The sequence below is a fragment of the Homo sapiens genome, chromosome 15 (assembly GCF_000001405.40).
Source record: "Homo sapiens chromosome 15, GRCh38.p14 Primary Assembly".
Lineage (NCBI taxonomy): Eukaryota > Metazoa > Chordata > Mammalia > Primates > Hominidae > Homo > Homo sapiens.
The window spans coordinates 32,534,270-32,553,454 of NC_000015.10; the positions used below are offsets into that span (position 1 = coordinate 32,534,270).

The 19,185-nt window shown below is 38.6% G+C and overlaps 1 long non-coding RNA gene across 1 annotated transcript in view; it reads left to right on the top strand.

Annotated features, from left to right (window-relative positions):
• Positions 1 to 2,489: 2,489 nt before the first annotated feature.
• The window catches only part of LINC02256 (long intergenic non-protein coding RNA 2256), a 43,851-nt gene continuing 27,155 nt past the window's right edge, over positions 2,490 to 19,185 (top strand). Inside the window, exon 1 of the long non-coding RNA NR_102756.1 lies at positions 2,490 to 2,737. This is a non-coding gene — a long non-coding RNA (long intergenic non-protein coding RNA 2256). The remainder of the gene's footprint in view (positions 2,738 to 19,185) is intronic.

Consider the following 19,185-nt stretch of genomic DNA (forward strand, 5'->3'; position numbering starts at 1 on the left):
CCCAGCTACTGGGGAGGCTGAGGCAGGAAAATGGGGTGAACCTGAGGGGCAGAGCTTGCAGTGAGCCGAGATGGCGCCACTGCACTCCAGCCTGGGCGACAGTGCAAGACTCTGTCTCAAAAAAAAAAAAACAAAAAACCTCATAAAACATTACAGAGCTGTCTCCAAGTACTTTAGCATGTTGATTCTCTTAATGCCCCAGGTTAATATCCCCATGAAGTCCTTAGCAGTCAACTCATTTACAGAGCCTCAGCTGTGGTTCCAGTCTCTGCTGGTTATTGCTTGTGCTGCAGGGCAGAAAACAAACTGAACAGTGTATAATCTAGGTGGACTGATTTGGTTGGAAATTATTTTACTCCCACAAGAAGAGAAATAAAAATAAAATAATATAGATGTTTTTCAACCAATACATTCTTAAAATTCTTCTATTTCCATCCTTCTGCTTAAAGATAAAGTGATCTACTTTCAGCTGTATTTTTTATCCAGGTAATAATATTATGGTTTTTTTTTTAAGTGAAAGCCCCACTGAACAAAATTAAAACACACACGCAAAAGTAAACTTAAGGCAAGTGATACACTTCAGCCTTATTTCTTAGACTATTCAGAAAAATTCCAGAGTTAAAACATTCAGCTTCATTTTATATATGCTAGCAATGCTAGCAATTAGTCTAATTCTAGAATCAATTGCTTTTCTATTTTAAATATAAAGTAAAATATTAAAATTATATATTTGGACATGTTTTGAATTTTAGCTTCCCCTCTCAACCCCTCATTTTTGAGTTCCAGATAAATATGTGAACTACACTAACATGAACAACTAGCTCAACAGAATGAACTACATTCACGCTATAGTACCCCAGAGTGAACTTAAATTTGGGAAAACTAACTTTTCTGATAGTAACTACAGTAAAATGCATCATATAAATGTTCGATTTTAAGGAGAAACCACCTATCTCTGTGAGAAACCAAGAGTGTAAAAAACAAGTCTGATACAAAATGATACCATTTTTGAAACTCCGGTGGGCTCGTCATATCCTAAGGTGAAAGTTATAAAGTTGAAGATCAAAAGCTGACTGGCCTGAAACTCCCCTGTGGTTTCCTCATAGTCTAAAGTGAAATCAACACATGTTAAGTGGGTGTGTAGACATTTACACATAAAGCTCACAGTACAAAAATGACCCCACTAACAAGCTCCTTTTATAAAACCATTTTAATTTAGAAAGCTTATTCTATATTTAGCTTAGGCTGAATTCTTCTTTTCACCTCCCCTTCCTCAAAAGAATGCACAGAAAAAAATCATTCAGGTTAATAAGAGCAGTGAGCTGAGACTCCAGCCTGGCTCTGCTTAGTAAACCGTGGGTGTGGATTTAGAAGGCATACTTTCTCCTAAACCCTTCTATGAACATGTACTTCCCCGTCCCCTAAGTTCAGTAAGTTTACCACTCAATTACTCTCTCAAACTACCTCTTTCAAGCTTAAAAGAGCACTAATGCGGTTAAACTGATGAATAAAGCTCACTTTCTACCGGCTTTCCATTTGACCAAGTCTGTATTACTTAAAACAAAACACCCTAACTCCTAAAAGCCATTTCTTCCTTTAAACCATTTTATCCCACTTGCGACGTCCCCGCAGACACAGACTTGGAATTGCTTACGTGTAGTCCGTGTTATTCTTTCCTACATGGATGGGTTGTTTTCAGTTTGCTTGCAGTATTTCTGACATTTCCCGTTACAACATCCTGCTCTGCCAGCATCTTCAGGGCAAAGGTTGGGGGCCTAGCCCAGCTCCCAGCGGCAAGTACACTAGGCTCTTAACTTCGCTTGTCCTCTCTGCAGGCCCTGCCGAAGCTCCCCCTGGTTTCCCGCAGCGATCCCGCGCAGGTGAGGGTACTGGGGAGCCCGTGGCCTTCTCCGCCCGCCGGCTCCTCCCCATCAGCCGTCAGCCAGGGCTCTCGGCGCCGGGGAAGCCTCCCACAGGGTCCCAGGCCACCCAAGCGCGGTCAAACGCCGGCGGCCCGGCCTCGCTTACCTGACGCAGCCGCGCGTCCGCCTCGACCCATCAGGCGCGCAGGGCCCGCTCTCGAAACTCGCGCGGGCTCTCGCAGTCAGCCGCGCGGCCTTTAGCCGCGAAAACAGCGTGGCGCACGGTGGCGCCGCCGCAGCCGTGGGCCGCCGCGCCCAGGTAGCGCTCCAGCTGCCCGCATAGCTCCTGCAGCGCCACCTCGCCGGGGCCCGCGCGCGCCTGCCAGAGCAGCGCCCACAGCCCGAGCCCCAGACTCCAGGCCCCGCCGCCGCCCACGTCCAGCTGCGGGGAGCAGCGTTCCAGAGGCGGCCACAGCGCCGCTAGCTGCCAGCGCGCGCCGCGGAACCCCGCGGCCGAGAACCGGCCGGCCCAGTTGGGCGGGAACACGGCAGCTGGGCGGGGACACGGCAGCTGGGCGGGGACACAGCGGCCTTGGGTTTGGGCTCCAGCCCCAGCCGGGCCCCCTCGCGCCGCTGCGGCTGCTGCGCGGTGAGGTCGTGACAAGTCACAGCTAACTTGCCCTCCGCGCCATTCCACGCCACCAGGAAGCGCAGCCGGTGCCTCTCGGCATCGGCGAAGAGGCCTTGCCGGACCGGCGCCCAGCCCTCCAGGCTGTCGAGCTGCTCGTCCTCCATGGCCGTCGGCGGCAGCGGCCCTAGGACTCGGCGGGCGCGGGCCTGACCTCGTCGCACTGCCTGTCAGGGGACAGTCCCAGGTGAAGCATTTTTCGCTCCACTATTGGTATTTTAACAACATGAATGAAAAAAAAAAAAAAAACTCAGCTGTTTTGATAGAAGTAACAAACGTGCCTAGGAATCATCTTCCTTGAAGGGAGAGGAGGGTCTTGTTGAACTTGAAAAAACTAAATAAGCAAAGTTGATACATAAGGACACCCTTCTCTTTACCCTTACCTATTCTTCTCTTAAAACTTTAATTCATTTCTGACAGTCACCAACTGAAAAACGGTCCGACTAAAAAAAAAAAAAAAACTGATCATAAAGGGGGGAGAAGTTGTGACGTGTTCTATCCTAATCCAAGATATCTAAACCAATTTTGCTGATAGAGAAAATATATTCGGTGAATGATGTAAGTACATTAATATAGGTAACAACTCTTTGAAAGTAAAGTTTGCACATAATATGAAATACAAAGAGAATTACTGTAGTCTCGAAGGAGAGAACCCTTGATGGGGAGTGGTAGTCAAAAAGGTGTATGAGCAAGTCATCTGTTGCAAGGTGATGGGAGGAGATTTTTATGCAGGCATTCAATATCAGAGTCAGAGGTTTTAATGATTTTTGTTTTTTATCTTGAGAGTTGGAGACTAGAAGATCTAAAATAGGAAATTTCTGGCATATCCATAGATAGAATGGAAACTCTTGGCCAAAAATAACGTGCTCCAAGTCATGAAAAATAGCACACATGCACAATTAACTACAGAGTTACACAAGATGGTGTCTTTTCATTCGATTTTATTTGAACTCTTATTCTTCTCTTTTATGCTCTGTATCCTTGTTAACTCTTCCATTTTTTCCTCATCCTATGAGGTACTTTAAACATTTTATTCAATAACTCTTAAGGCAATTTTTACAATTCTATTCATATATAAAACTGTCATAAGCATGTTTTGTGAGTGAAAAATTCTAATTTGTAATGCATATCAAGTGAAAAGCCTCAGTTCAGCACTCGTCATATCCAAAATCTGTGTTATATGATAATGTAAAAGAAATATTTTCACACATGTAGCTCAAATGAGATTCTTAGTTACATGTTTCTTTTTTTTCTTTTCTTTTCTTTTCTTTTTTTTTTTTTTGAGACGTAGTCTCGCTCTGTTGCCTAGGCTGGAGTGCAGTGGCGCAATCTCGGCTTACTGCAAGCTCTGCCTCCCGGGTTCATGCCATTCTCCTGCCTCAGCCTCCCAAGTAGCTGGGATTACAGGTGCCCGCCACCACGCCCGGCTAATTTTTTGTATTTTTAGTAGAGACGGGGTTTCACAGTGTTAGCCAGGATGGTCTCTATCTCCTGACCTCGTGATCCGCTCGTCTGGGCCTCCCAAAGTGCCAGGATTACAGGCGTGAGCCACCACGCCCGGCCTACATTTTTCAAAATTTAACTCAATCTTTTATGTTTAAAAATGTGCATATACTGCCTGTTCAAGTACTTAATCTTTGTATTTATTATTTGAAATTGGAAGTCCATCTTTTTAGATTGTTAGGAGGTCTTCACATATTTGAATGAGTTATTAAGTTGATACAACTATTTTGGAAAAATAATTATCATTATCTACTAAATTTAAACACATAATTTATGACCAGCAGTTTCAACAGAGACACCTGGATGTTCATCAGGATAGAATGGATTGGAAAGCTCCATATTCATTCAACAGGGTGCTACACAAAACAAAAAGGAATGAAACACTGGTCCATAACATAAATAGATTTCACAAATGCAATTTTGAGTGAAATAAGCCAGAAAAAAATAAATACCGTATGCTTCCATTTATATGAAGACAAAGATAGGCAATATTAATCTATGGTAACATGTGAGACTGACTGACTTTTCTCAGCATCAGCTAAGAGCCTGAAAAATATTTTTCTGGGGTGCTAAAAAAGTGCCAGATCTTAAAATATTTGTACAAAAGATAATATTTGTTTTTTTATATAAATAGGTACAAAATACAAATATGGGCAAAAATGTATTTATAAATATGTTAAACAAGATTATTTATAGTTTATACTTCAATATAATTTTTTTCACTTTTGTTGACATTAGTAAACCATCACACTTAATAAACAGCCATTTGGAATGGTTCTTGATTTAGGTATTTCCTTGATCAAGTACCAAGTAGGAACATACCTTGATTCTAAAATATAAAGAATATGATTCCATGAAAGTTTCCATGAAAACTATCTTGCATTCTAAAATATTTTTAAAAGTACTTATTTTCAAAGTTCATTTTCCTATTTTAAACAAAAGTTGAACTAAATTACATATAATCTAGTCCCCAAAGTATTCAGTAAATATCAAATGAAGGTGTGAAAGTTAAAGATTTCAATTTTTTACTAGTTAATTTGCAGTGCTCTATTATTTTGCTTAATAAGCAATTTTATGCTAGAAATAAGCAGATTTCTCTATTCACATTATCTTTACCAAGAGCACTTAAATAAATACCATTGATTACTTGCAAAATGCAGATTGTAGATTCAGAGCTCAAAACTAAAGCTCTGAGGATGTAATTCAATTAAAACAACCCATAGTTGTGAATTCACCTCACCAGTGTCCCTAAGACAAGAAGCTCTTTCTCACATCAAAGTGAATTATTTTAATTCACTTTGGATGTTAGGAATATCCTAACTCCTTTGTAATTAAAAACAAAAACAAAACTTCTGATGCTTCTTTATACCTTAACAATTATGAGGTCTATAACAATATGAACACAGAAGTTTGGGTCAGTTCAATGACTGAACTAAAACATTGTTTCCCAACATGTCCATGTTTTACAAGATGATGGGGTTGTTATCTGTGATGCCATTGCAAAGATCTTGATGGTTCCAAAACACTCTAAGCATCACATAAGCCATGTTATACCTGTCGCCCCAAATTTACCAAACCATTTGGATTAAAACTCTCAGTAAGGACCTCTGAGGCACAAAGATCTATGAATAACTCCTTAACCCCTTTGCTCTTACTCTTCAGGTACAATTTCAAATTTTCACTTTTCCCTTTCTGCACTGACCTTGGGAAAGTCACTTTATCTCTGTGATCTAATTTTCCACATCAATAATGTATCTATACTTGGCATAGAGAGTTATGAGAATAAAATAATAACATATATGGGAGATTTCTGTGAATACCAATTGTACAGGTGGATTTTTAAATAATAGATTTAGGGCCAGGCGCAGTAGCTCACAGAAGTAATACCATCACTTTAGGAGGCCGAAGCGGGTGGATCACCTGAGGTCAGGAGTTCAGACCAGCCTGACCAACAAGGTGAAATACTGTCTCTACTAAAAATACGAAAATGAGCCAGGTGTGGTGGCGGGCACCTGTAGTCCCAGCTACTCAGGTGGGTGAGACAGGAGAATTGCTTGAACCCACAAGGCGGAGGGTGCAGTAAGCCGAGATCGCGCCACTGCACTCCAGCCTCGGTGATGAAGCGAGACACCATGTAAAAAACAAACAAACAAACAAATAAAATATATTTAGGAAAATTATTAATAAGAAAAAAATTGAAAGCATTAAGAACTCTATTATGGACTGAACAAAAAAAGGAGAATTGGTACCATACCTTGGTAAGTTTATTTTGATAAGCACAATTTCTATTAGTTCCTCAGTGTTTCTTCTTGCTCCCTGAATGTATGTTCCTTGCCTCTATCTTATCCCATTTTTTCTATTGTTAATGCATAGAGAGTTGTCACAAGTTCTATTCTCAATGCCTATTGCATCAGGCAATAGAAGATGACTCTGGTTCCCAACTCAGAAAAACCTCATTTTTAAGAAATGTTTGAGCTTTGACTTTGATCTCATTCAGAATATTCTGGTTCAAAAGTTTTTTGTTTTTTTTGTTTTTTTTGAGACGGAGTCTCGCTTTGTCGCCCAGGTTGGAGTGCAATGGCGCGATCTCGGCTCACTGCAAGCTCCGCCTCCCGGGTTCACGCCATTCTCCTGCATCAGCCTCCCTAGTAGCTGGGACTACAGGCCCCTGCCACCACGCCTGGCTAATTTTTTTTTTTTTGTATTTTTAGTAGAGACGGGGTTTCACCGTGTTAGCTAGGATGGTCTCAATCTCCTGATCTCGTGATCCGCCCGTCTCGGCCTCCCACAGTGCTGGGATTACAGGCGTGAGCCACCACGCCCGGCACAAAAGTCTTATGTTTGTGTAAATAAGAAAAGCACCTTTGAAAACTACACCTACAAATGGGAATATGGAATAAAAAGGACAAGCCAAAGGTTATGGAACAAAATAAAACATGAAGAAAGAGAAATAGAAACACAATATTACTATATACAATATAGTAATGTATTTTAAAATATGAAAAACGCTAGCAAAACAGCAATATGTGAACAAAAGAATTGGAGTAAAATAATAGAATTTGAAACAGCACAATCTGCTGAAAATACACAAAAGACAAACTAGGATATTTCTGAGCTCACTGTTTATAATATTAGAACATGTATATAAAAAGGAAAAGTGACTTTAAAATGTCTGGGGGCCAAGCAATATATAGCTTGTTACATTTTATTTACAAACAGTTTCTTTGACTAGGGAATCAATTTAAATTTTCTGTTTTGGAAATAATATAAATATATCTTTATTTTAGACTTTTTGCTGAAAAGTTTCTTAAATATTTACAACTTTAGGATAATCAGTGTACATTTCAATATATAATGTCCTAAAAATCAAACAGCTACCAAACATTGAATTGAAGTTCTGACTTATATAAATCATTTGCATAAAAACTGATCATTAAAAACAGTATCTAATGAACATTTTGGCCCCAATATTAATTAAAACTGAAATGATAGCATTACAAGCTAAAGATTAATTTCAATGACATGTCGTTCAACCATTTTGACATAATCGACTTATAATAAGCTAAAATTGACTATTTTTATGACATATTTGACCTAAATGAAGAGAAAAAAGCTTTGACTAATTCTTAATTACTCTTTCTGACCAATTGATGGCCAATAACTGAATTTAATTTCAAACCATTTTCTGTTATTTTAATCTTTTAAACATGTTTTACTTTCAGTGATTCATTTTCTAACATTCATAGCCAAAGCCCAGGCTCTGCCCATCTTTGTCTACCTTAATGACTTTGTCAATTGTTGGTATACACTGGGCCTTAAAAACTTGTGTTTCTTCCGAATTAATTAATGAAGTAGAATTGCTCTTATAGGGTTTCATATACCATTACCTCCAAAAGAGTACATTAGAAGTATTAGAAAATACTGATATTTATAAACAGATATTTATCTTATGATACAAAGAGCTAGAGCTGTTTTATTTTCTGTAAAACTAAGAATAACTTCTTGATAACATAGCTTCACAAAAAGAAAACCCAACACATTTGCATAAATAATTCTCTGAAATAACTATGTGTTTGTAACTTTTTATATACATGAGGATATACATATACTTATACATCTATACATATATATGTAACATAAAGGATATTAACATTAGGACTGTTTAATGTCTATTTGTCTTGGAAAGAAAAATATACTTAAAAATATTTCTCAATTGGGATTTGTAATCGTACCGACTTAATTGATAAACTTGGCGACTGCTTTTATGCTCTGTCTCCTTCCATAAATTTTTAAAAATACTAATTCAACAAAGAAAAAGCTCTAATGTTCATTGGAAATAATTTATAGACTTTTTTAGAGCAGAGAAAAATTAAGAAAAACTTTGAAATGGTCTCAAAAAATTACTATTTTCAGTGGAAAACTAAATGTTAGTTTAACTGATTGTATGGGGTTTCTGAACCTTTCACTTTTTGTTTGTTTTACCTATTTCACAACTGTGTAAATTGCAAATAATTCCTGTCCATGAAAATACAAATTATCCAGTGTAGATATATTTCACTGTCACCCTATAGATATTGGCTAATTTTGCCTTTATTAAGCAAATTCATTTCAGCATGAATGTCTGCCTGTATATTCTCTGCTCTTTGTATTCTCCTTTGAACCAGTCAGAACATCCTGTGGTACTCTTATTTATTAATCAGTTAAATAAAATCATGAACATATATTCATTTTACATTTGTATGAGAACCATTAATTTTCTTTTCTTTAAAAAAATTAATTATCCTTTGACATTGGGTTGACATTTTCTTAAGACTTGCCATAAACAGAGGATATCAAGTTTCTCAAGGTCAGTTCTAGAGGAAAAAAAAATTCTTTATAAAAATTTAGCCTCATGTGTAACAGTTTCCATTCCCATAGCAATGACATTTGATATACATTGTATATATTAATCTGGGAATGATGTAAGATTCCAAGTATAATTTTATCAGTGAACTCAACTACTTGATTACTTTCACTTATTTAAATATCTAGTTCAATGTTGTCCAGTGGCATTGTGGATTTAGGTAATTTTACCAGGCAGCCGTTCAATTTCTGCACTTTCTGTTTGCCCATGCAGAACACAACACATTTTATAAGTCAAAGTATAGGCATCTGGTGGCATAATTTTAATTTGTTATCAAATAAAAGCCTCATCAAATTAGTCTAGAAAATAACTCATTATTTACTTTATTTTAGGACTGTATCACTATGTAATGAGATACAAATACATGTAAGCGTTAAGTGCCTAAGAGGCATCCAGAGAGCCTAAGATGTATGCAGTATGCCTAAGAGGAATGCAGAGAGCCTAAGATGTATGCAGTATGCCTAAGAGGAATGCAGAGAGCTTCATTTTCATTGTCAGCTGCTCAGTTGTTTCTCAGGAAATAAATGTGGCCAACTGACACCATTTAAGAGATATAAAGCAACAAGTTTAGAAAATTCTCATAAATGGGAGTGGCTAATGCATAGACAATAGCATTGACCTTTGATCCATGTATATATATATATTTAGATACATACCTCAAAAACATTTGGGTCAATTTAATTGTGAGTACTATAAACTACAAATGAAAGTAAAAAAGCAAATCTGTTGGTATTTTAGAAGAATGAAAGATTATTAACTCATGGCCTGTATGTATTTGGAATGAGAAGGACATACATAGCTTTCTTTGGATGGGGTGGAATTGAAATTGTGATTTACAGTGACTAAAACCTGACTGCTTTCACATTTTTTTTTCACTGTTGGGGGTGAAATTCTTGATTGATTCATGCATTGGGAACTTTTTTTTTTTTTTTTTGAGACGGAGTCTCGCTCTGTAGCCCAGGCTGGAGTGCAGTGTCAGGATCTCGGCTCACTGCAAACTCCACCTTCTGGGTTCACACCATCCTCCTGCCTCAGCCTCCCAAGTAGCTGGGACTACAGGCGGGCACCACCACGCCTGGCAAATTTTTTGTATTTTTAGTAGAGACGGGGTTTCACTGTGTTAGCCAGGATGGGCAGGATGGTCTCGACCTCCTGACCCTGTGATTCACCTGCCTTGGCCTTCCAAAGTGCTGGGATTGCAGGTGTGCACCCGCCTGAGCCACTGCGCCTGGCCGGGAGCTTTTGAATTAACTAAGGAAATTGACAAAATAGAGAATGACTCCTTATGTGACCTGCAGAAAATATTTTGTGTCATTCGTGGTACATTTATCATATTTTCTATAGGTTTGTACTATGTTACTTCACTTCTAAGAATTCGAAGTAGTTCAAAGCCAGCAGGGACTGGTATATTATAGCATATTTAACCTAAGCAACTCTAAAAGCTAACGAAACCAAGTATCTACAAACTTTAGCCATAGCTACCATCAACATGAAGAATGTAATAGGCAAAATGTTTTACATGCTGAATAAGCACTACTGAATTCTCTCTATATTTTTTGCAGTTTTAATTTAAAAGTATACTAGTTAGATATTTCATCTATACCCTGGTATAGTAATAAAAATTCAGATATTGCTCAACGAGGAAGCATATTTTCAAAGCAACAGACCTGAAAACTAGTATTTTATTTGATATTTTAAGTGCTTATTTCATTTTCTGGTTAAAGATGTTTGTGGAGGTAAAATTTAAAATAGATACTCTGTGTTCTTCTATTATATAACATTGAAATTAAATTTTTTATTAGTAAATGTAGAAAAGGTAAGTCTGAAGCATTGACTGAGAAAGATTTAGTAAATGGAGAATTTTGACTGTTAAACATCCTATTTTAACAAAAATATGCATAAAATATTCTTAGGATGATTTAATTAACCTTTTAATAAATACGAAAGACATTATGAAAAAAAGAATACATCACATTGCAGAATCAAAAGTAATAAAAATCACTCAAATTCTACTGCTCAGAAATGAAAATAATTGCTAAACATTAGGTGGCAGTATTTCAGACATTCCTATATAAATATACTTGAATGAGGCCCAGAGCAGTGGCTCACGCCTGTAATCCCAGCACTTTTGGAGGCCAGATAATGGCATGAACCCCGGAAGCGGAGCCTGCAGTGAGCGGAGATCACGCCACTGCACTCCATCCTGGGCGAAAGAGCAAGACTCCGTCTCAAAATAAAAATAAAAATAAATAAATAAATAAATAAATACACGCATTCTTCATTTATAAAATACATTTAATATTTTTAAATAAATAAGTCAAAACAAAACGTTGATAAAATGACTATAGTTATTTGTGTGAATATATGCATGTGTGTTTGTACAGATGCATTAAGAAATCTTAATCCTCAAAATGATGAACATTTTAGAAGAAATATTAAGTATAATAGAGTTTGGGATCTGTATCTTTCTTTCTTTCTTTTTCTTTTTTTTTGAGACGGAGTCTCGCTCTGTCGCCCAGGCTGGAGTGCAGTGGCACGATGTCAGCTCAACTGCACGCTTCGCCTCTCAGGTTCATGCCATTCTCCTGCCTCAGCCTCCCGGGTAGCTGGGACTACAGGCGCCCGCCACCACGCCCTGCTGATTTTTCGTATTTTTAGTAGACACGGGGTTTCACCGTGTTAGCCAGGATGGTCTTGATCTCCTGACCTCGTGTTCCGCCCGCCTCGGCCTCCCAGAGTGCTGGGATTACAGGCTGAGCCACTGCGCCCTGCCCTGGGATCTGTATTTTTCTAAGTAGGTGATTCTGTATCTAATGAAAAATTATCACTTAAAATTTCAAAATGTTTTAGTTTGTTGTTATTATTATTATTTGTATTACTTTTAAAGCTGGGGTCTTCTTATGGTGCCCAGGCTAATCTTGTTAATATTTTTATATTATCATTGTATCTTAGGCAGCTCAAGCTGCCATAACAGAATACCAGAGACTGGTGTCTTCAACACACATTTGTTTCTCACAGTTTTGGAGGCTGGGAAATCCTCCACAAGGTTCGGGCAGATTCAGTCCCTGGTGAAAGCCCCCTTCCTAGACTACAGGCTCCTGCCTTCTGACAATGTCTTCACATGGCACAAAATAGAGAAAGACAGAGAGCTATGGTCTCACTTTCTCTTCCTATAAGAACACTAATCCCATCATGGAGATGCACATGATCTTAACCAGACAAATTTTTTTTGGATATTTTGAACTGATCAAATAACTCACATTGATTCAAAATATCACAGTTATTAAAACTCAGGCACAAAATCAAGTTAGTTCATCACTAATTGAGGCAGATAATTTTAAATCAAAATATAGCTACACAAAACATCATTTCCTAATTATCTTAGACTTTAAAAGTAGTTAGAGGAAGAGAAAGCTCATCTCTCTATTACAGTATTAATGGGTTTCCCATCCTAGGTGTCTTAATCTATTTAAACAGCTATAACAAAATACCATAAATTGGTGGATTATAGGCAATAGAAATTTGTTGTTCACAGTTCTAGAGGGCAGGAAGTCCTAGATCAAAGTGCCGTAAGAGTTGGTGAGGACCTGCTTCTTGATTCATGAATTGCCATCTCTTCCCTGCATCCTCACTTGGTGAAAGGGGCAAGAGTCTCTCCGGGGACTCTTTTATAAGTGCACTAATCCCATTCATGAGGGCTCTACCGTCATGATCTAATCCCCTCCCTCTAAGGTCCCACCTGCAAATATCATCATATGGGTGTTACATTTCAACAGCTGAATTTTGGGGGGCACTATCATTCAGTCTACAGCACTGTGAAATCCCTAATATCGAGTTTTCTTTTTAATTTTTGTTTTGTTTTGTTTTGAGACAGAGTCTCGCTTTCTCGCCCAGGCTGGAGTGCAGTGGTACGATGTCCGCTCACTGCAAGCTCTGCCTCCCGGGTTCACGCCATTCTCCTGCCTCAGCCTCCCGGGTAGCTGGGACTACTGGCGCCCGCCACTACGCCCGGCTAAAATTTTTTGTATTTTTAGTAGAGATCACCGCACCTGGCCCTTAGATGAATATTTGAATAAAAGTTGTATGTATGATGATAAAACAACAAGAAACTGAATTTTTGCAGAAAGTAAAAATAAAACTTGTCACTCTTTATATAGGCAAATCAGAGACTAGAGGTTTTAGAAAAGACATCAGTATGTTCCATATAAAGTATGTACTGGGACCCCGTCCGTCTTTTTCACCATATAATAACAGTGCTTTTAATAGTACCTGGGATGGCTGGGTGCAGTGGCTTACGCCGTAATCCTAGCACTTTGGAAGGCCGAGGAGGGAGGATCCTGAGGTCAGGAGATCGAAAACATCCTGGCTAATACGGTGAAACTCCGTCTCTACTAAAAATAACAAAAAAATTAGCCGGGCGTTGTGGCGGGCGCCTGTAGTCCCAGCTACTCTGGAGGCTGAGGCCGGAGAAAGGCGTGAACCCGGGAGGCGGAGCTTGCAGTGAGCGGACATCGTGCCACTGCACTCCAGCCAGGGCGACAGAGTGAGACTCCATCTCAAAAAAAAAAAAAAAAAAAGTACCTGGGACATGATATGAACTCAATGACTATTTATTGAATGAATTAATTGAACAAGTTTATGCAAGAAATTGACATAAAATTAAACATTGTCTTCTTATATCATATAGTGTCTACAAAAACTAAGTTGATACAGAACCTGTATTCTAACATGATTAAATTTGAGCCAAGTACATTTCTCTCTTAAGAATTTAGAAGTTTATAAAGAAATCAGGGCCTGGGAACTGAATCATTAATGGAAGATCTCAAAGGCAATATTCTTTTCATTGTAATTAATATTAAGTCGTTAAAGTAATAATAAATAACTAACATTTAGGTTCCTGAAAAAAATGATTAAATTGAACATCAAATAGTTTGCATTTATATCACACTGTACAATTTATATTTTTTATGCTGCTTTACTGTAAGATTTCATTGAACAAATGCATCTTATGATTTCAAGGTAAGGTATTGAAATATGCCTTTTAAAAATGTAATGCTGTATTAGTGATTTTAAAATATGTAAAAAAAATGTGTGGGAAATACTAGAAACGTTATTTGAAATTAGCCAGTTCTGGATTTGCTTATTTTTTTAATTTTATTTGCCAAACTGAGAACAATAGCCTTTACACATTTTCTATTTTTCTGGACTTGATTCTTAGGAACTTTAATTTTGCACTTTTGCATTCCTCTATAAATGTTAATGTTTTGGCCAATGACATTTCTCTAGATAAATTCAAAAGCTTAACCTAAGTAATGTAATGGTGGCATTTATGAAATTGACTCCTGGTTCTCTCTTTAAATTCTTTTTTATTGTTTATTTCTATGGCACCATTACACTATGCTATCACATTGTTCTTGTTTTATTCCCCATGTTTAAAAAGCTGTATATTCTTTGCTGAATCTTAAAGGTCACTTTGAAACCTGAAGACCATGACTGAAATACAGTGAAGATTAAAGATAAAAAGGAGAAAAAAGGTTAAATTATAAAACCTCTAATATCATTACTCATATATATGATACACACAGAGATGCATCACCTAGGTCCTCCCTGAGAGCTGTGTCAGTAGACAGGACTCAGCTGTGAGCCCCTTCAGACGTCACCTCAGCTGCAGAGCTTCCCCCTGCCTAAGGTCCTGAGGTTCCCAGTTGTGGCGCATATGCAACGACTGATTGAGGTGAGGCAAGGAGGCAGGTGAAAGAGGTGGGGAGGGGACTTGGGGCCTATAAAGACTCAGTCATGTCATTGCAATGTGAAAGGATGCCAGTGGGCCATTTTAACTTCAAAGTCCCCTGTGAGATGAGCCAAAGCTGTGGTCCAGGACTTCTTTTCAGCCCAGCTTTTTCCCTTTCCCTCAATCCAGCTTCCTTCTTCTCCTTTTCACAGGTAGTAATCCAAGGGCACTCCCTAGTATATATCTCCATGTCCAAATCTGCTTACTAGAGAACATTGTATCATGAATGATACCATTCTTCAAAAATATGGGGTACTTTGAGTGAAAGGAGTGAACGGTATGGAAGAACAGCTTTGGTAGAGTAATTAGAATAGAAGCTACTCTACATTGGGTTGATGCATGAATGGGATATTAGGAAGTAAAGTAGCAAATTGAAAACTCCTTTCAAAAGAAGAGAATTAGAAAAGGGTCAGCAAGATAGTAGTTGGGGCCTGGCTGTGATGGATCACGCCTGTAATCCCAGCACTTGGGGAGGCTAAGATGGGAGGATCACTTGAGGTCAGGATTTCAAGACCAGCCTGGTCAATGTAGCGAGACCCCACCTCTTTAAAAAAAAAATGTAGTTGGAAGCTAGAGAATAGCATAACAAAAAAGAGGGTGATTTTAGAAGATAAAAGGGCCCACTGGAGCTCTCTCACATTGGAATGAAATTCTGAAATTACCCTCTTTTTGGTTATGTCATTCTACCTCAATCATTTTGCCTCAATCATGTTTACAGGCAAAATAAGAGATAGAGAAGTGGGAAGGGCTGAAGGCAGAGATATGAGACACAATAACAAATGGGGAAAGATACAAGATATAATGGAAGGCATGAGCTAGATCAATTCTACAAGTGAAAAATTACATTAATTAAGAGGAAGGATCACTCATCACCCAATTATAGGTAAGTTTATAGGAGGGTGGGACTGGCTACATAATGGTAGGTGATACTTTATGTCCTTATTTTCATTAAAGAGAATATGTCATTTCCTGAAAATGAAAGATGTGGGTTTGAATAGAGAGTTGGCAAAATTTGGTATTTATTTGAAATTGGCATTTATTTGGGAAGATAATGTAGGGTAACTAATCCACTTAGATGATAGTTATTAACTATAAACTATGTACCAGGTACTTTGCTATAATATAAAGGCAATGGAAAAACCAAGATTCAATCTTGATTTGACATCCTTAACATTTACAGTGTCGTGGTGGAAACTATGTAAAGAATCCAGTGTGATAGAAGGTGGTAGATGTGGAAACAGGAGGTTTAGAAAAAGCTCCAGGACACACTGCTGATACATCTAACTCAGGATCAGGGCATTAAAGAAAGCATCACACTCTCCCTCAATCTCTCTATTCTGTCTCTTGATTGAATCATTTTAACAAAGTATCAAGATGGCCCTCAGCACTAAGGAGGAAGTGTTATTTGAAAGCATGTGTTTGAATAGTTGCATTTATCTAAACAGAATTTTTCACTCCTGTGTAGATTTGGCTTGGAATTGGTGTATTCTGGCATTCCATGTTGTAAAGCACTTGAGGTGCTTAAGAGATATTTGGTTGGCGGGGTGCAGTGGCTCACACCTGTAATACCAGCACTTTAGAAGGCCAAGGTGGTTGGATCACCTGAGGTCAGGAGTTCGAGACCAGCCTGGCCAACATGGTGAAACCCCGTCTCTACTAAAAATACACAACTTAGCTGGGCGTGTTGGCAGGTGCCTGTAATCCCAGCTACTCGGGAGGCTGAGGCGGGATAATTGCTTGAACCTGGGAGGCAGAGGTTGCAGTGAGCCAAGATTGCACCACTGCATTCCAGCCTAGGGAACAGAACAAGACTCTATCTCAAAAGAAAAAAATAAAAAAAGAAGGAGAGATATTTGGTAAATAACTGAGGCAAAGGTGGAAGAAAATAGTGTTCTGCAGGAGATCAAATAATGTGTGAAGAGAAAATAAAAATTTTAAAGAACTAAAAGAATCAGGTATTGAAGTCAAAGGTGAGAGGGCCACTGGAATTCAAAAATACAATGTGAATAACTACAGAAGATATCATCATTCCTGATGAGGCAATGAATGTGGGTGCCTAAATTAGAGTAGAAATACATGTTATTGAAGATAAGGAGATCAAAAGGTGTAAGGCCAGGGTGTTGAATGTATTTTGCACAAATGCGCTAACGTTACCCAGAGTGTTGGCAAGGGGAAAATCATCTGATGGCCTGTAGCCAGAGTTTTCCTTAAAAATGCAGATGTGTCCTCCTGGAAGATAGACATCTTTGAAAAAATGAAGGAAATTAGGGTCTCACGGCATGAATCTCATGGAGGTGATGAAGGACTGATTTGAGAGCAGCCATGCAGAGTTAGGACAATGCCAGCAACATCTGACCCATGTACATGAAGCTCCAGATAACTTAGGTGATTGCTTTAATGCAAAAGGCCACACAGTGTGAATTCCTGAGAGACTATTTATCTTTTATATTCCAGAGGTTGGAATGGAATAATTCACTCTTTTAAAAGGCTTGCTGGATATCCTCTATTTCAGGGCTCTCCAAACCCATACTAGTCCATAGCTGTTAGGAACTGGGCTCCACAGCAGGAGGTGAGTGGCGGCTGAGTGAGCGAAGCTTCATCTGTATTTACAGCTGCTCCTCATGGCTCGTGTTACCCCCTGAGCTCCTCCTCCTGTCAGATCAGCAGCAGCATTAGATTCTCATAGGAGCATGAACCCTATTGTGAACTAAGCATGCAAGGGATCTAGGTTGTGTGCTCCTTATGAGAATCTAATGACCGATGATCTGTCACTGTCTCCCATTGCCCCCAGGTGGGAACATCTAGTTGCAGGAAAACAAGCTCAGGGCTCCCAGGGATTCTACATTATGGTCAGTCGTATAACTATTTCATTATATGTTACAAAGTAATAATAATAGAAATAAAGTGCACAATAAATGTAATGGGCTTGAATCATTCTGAAACCATCCCCACCACCACCATGTCTGTGAAAAAAATTGTCTTCCACAAAACCAGTCCTTGATGCCAAAAAGGTTGGGGACCACTGCTCTATTTCTCTTCACTACTTAGAGAATCTGTTCTTCCACTCATGATCTACAAGGATTAAATGTTTCAAACAGTTCAAGTCTTCAAAATATGTATTTTGTAAACTTGAATTTTTAGAAATCATTCACAGTATCCATATTATATTTTATTTGCTGCAATGCCCTATACATTTCCCATATAATGCTCTTGAATATACTTTTACAACTTCAGTAACTTTACCCTTTACTGAATCTCAATCTGTCTCTCCATTTCTCTCTCTCAGCAAATCTAAACAAAAGAGAAACATGTCGACTTGTGCTATGGTCTAAATGTTTGTGTCTCTAAAATTCATGTGTTGAAACTTAATCTCCAATGCAATAGTATTAAGAGATGAAGGCTTTAGAATGTGACTGGCAGAGCCCTCATGAATGGGATTGGTGCCTTTATAAAAGAGGCCTCCAAAATCTCCCTAGCCCCTTCCACCAAGTAAGGAAGCACAGAAGTCACCATCTATGAAGTAGAGAGCAAGCTCTCGCCAGACACCAAATCTGCTGACACTTCAGTCTTAAACTCCCACCCTCCAGAACTATGAGCAATAAATTTCTGTTTTATAGTTGTCTAAATTATCCTGTCTAAGGTGTTTTTTTATAGTAATGTGAATGGACTAAGACAACTTGAAAATGCAAGGTACCACACCAATAACAAGGAAAATACTCATGTTTTGTAACATTTATTTTATACCAAAGATACGCCAATTACTGTATACAAATATATGCCAAATGTTGGGTAAAATACTTTACATAAATTATATTAATCCTGACAACAACCTGAAGGTAGATACTGTTGTCTGCATTTAAAGATGAGGACGTGGGGCTTGAATTAAGTAACTTAACTCACATCTCATCATGCTAAATGGCAAAGCTGGGATTCAAACCCTGCTCAGTCGGACTCCCATCAGGCTGCTCTTAGCCTGGTTATATTTTGAAGAAAAGAAGTTCAGAAACTTATCCATAGACATGGCCAGGTAGGGCCAGAGTCCAGACTCAACTGACTGTCAGCCAAGGCCAGCCTCAACTCTTCCATTTTACCTCCAGCCTGAACAGCTTAAACATTTTTTCTCTTGCCATCTTATTAGAGTACATAATGCCTATAATGATGGGATCCACATGATATAGCATGACAACACTCTGTTTTAAAAAAGGTGAAATGTAATTTTTTTTTTTTTAAATTTTAAGTTCTGGGATACATGTGCAGGACGTGCAGGTTTGTTACATAGGTAAACGTGTGTCATGGTGGTTTGCTACCCCTATCAACCTATCACCTAGGTTTTAAGGCCCCCATGCACTAGCTATTTATCCTGATGCTCTCCTTCCCCCCAACCCCCCAGTAGGTCCCAGTGTGTTTTGTTCCCCTCCCTGTGTGCTTGTGTTCTCAT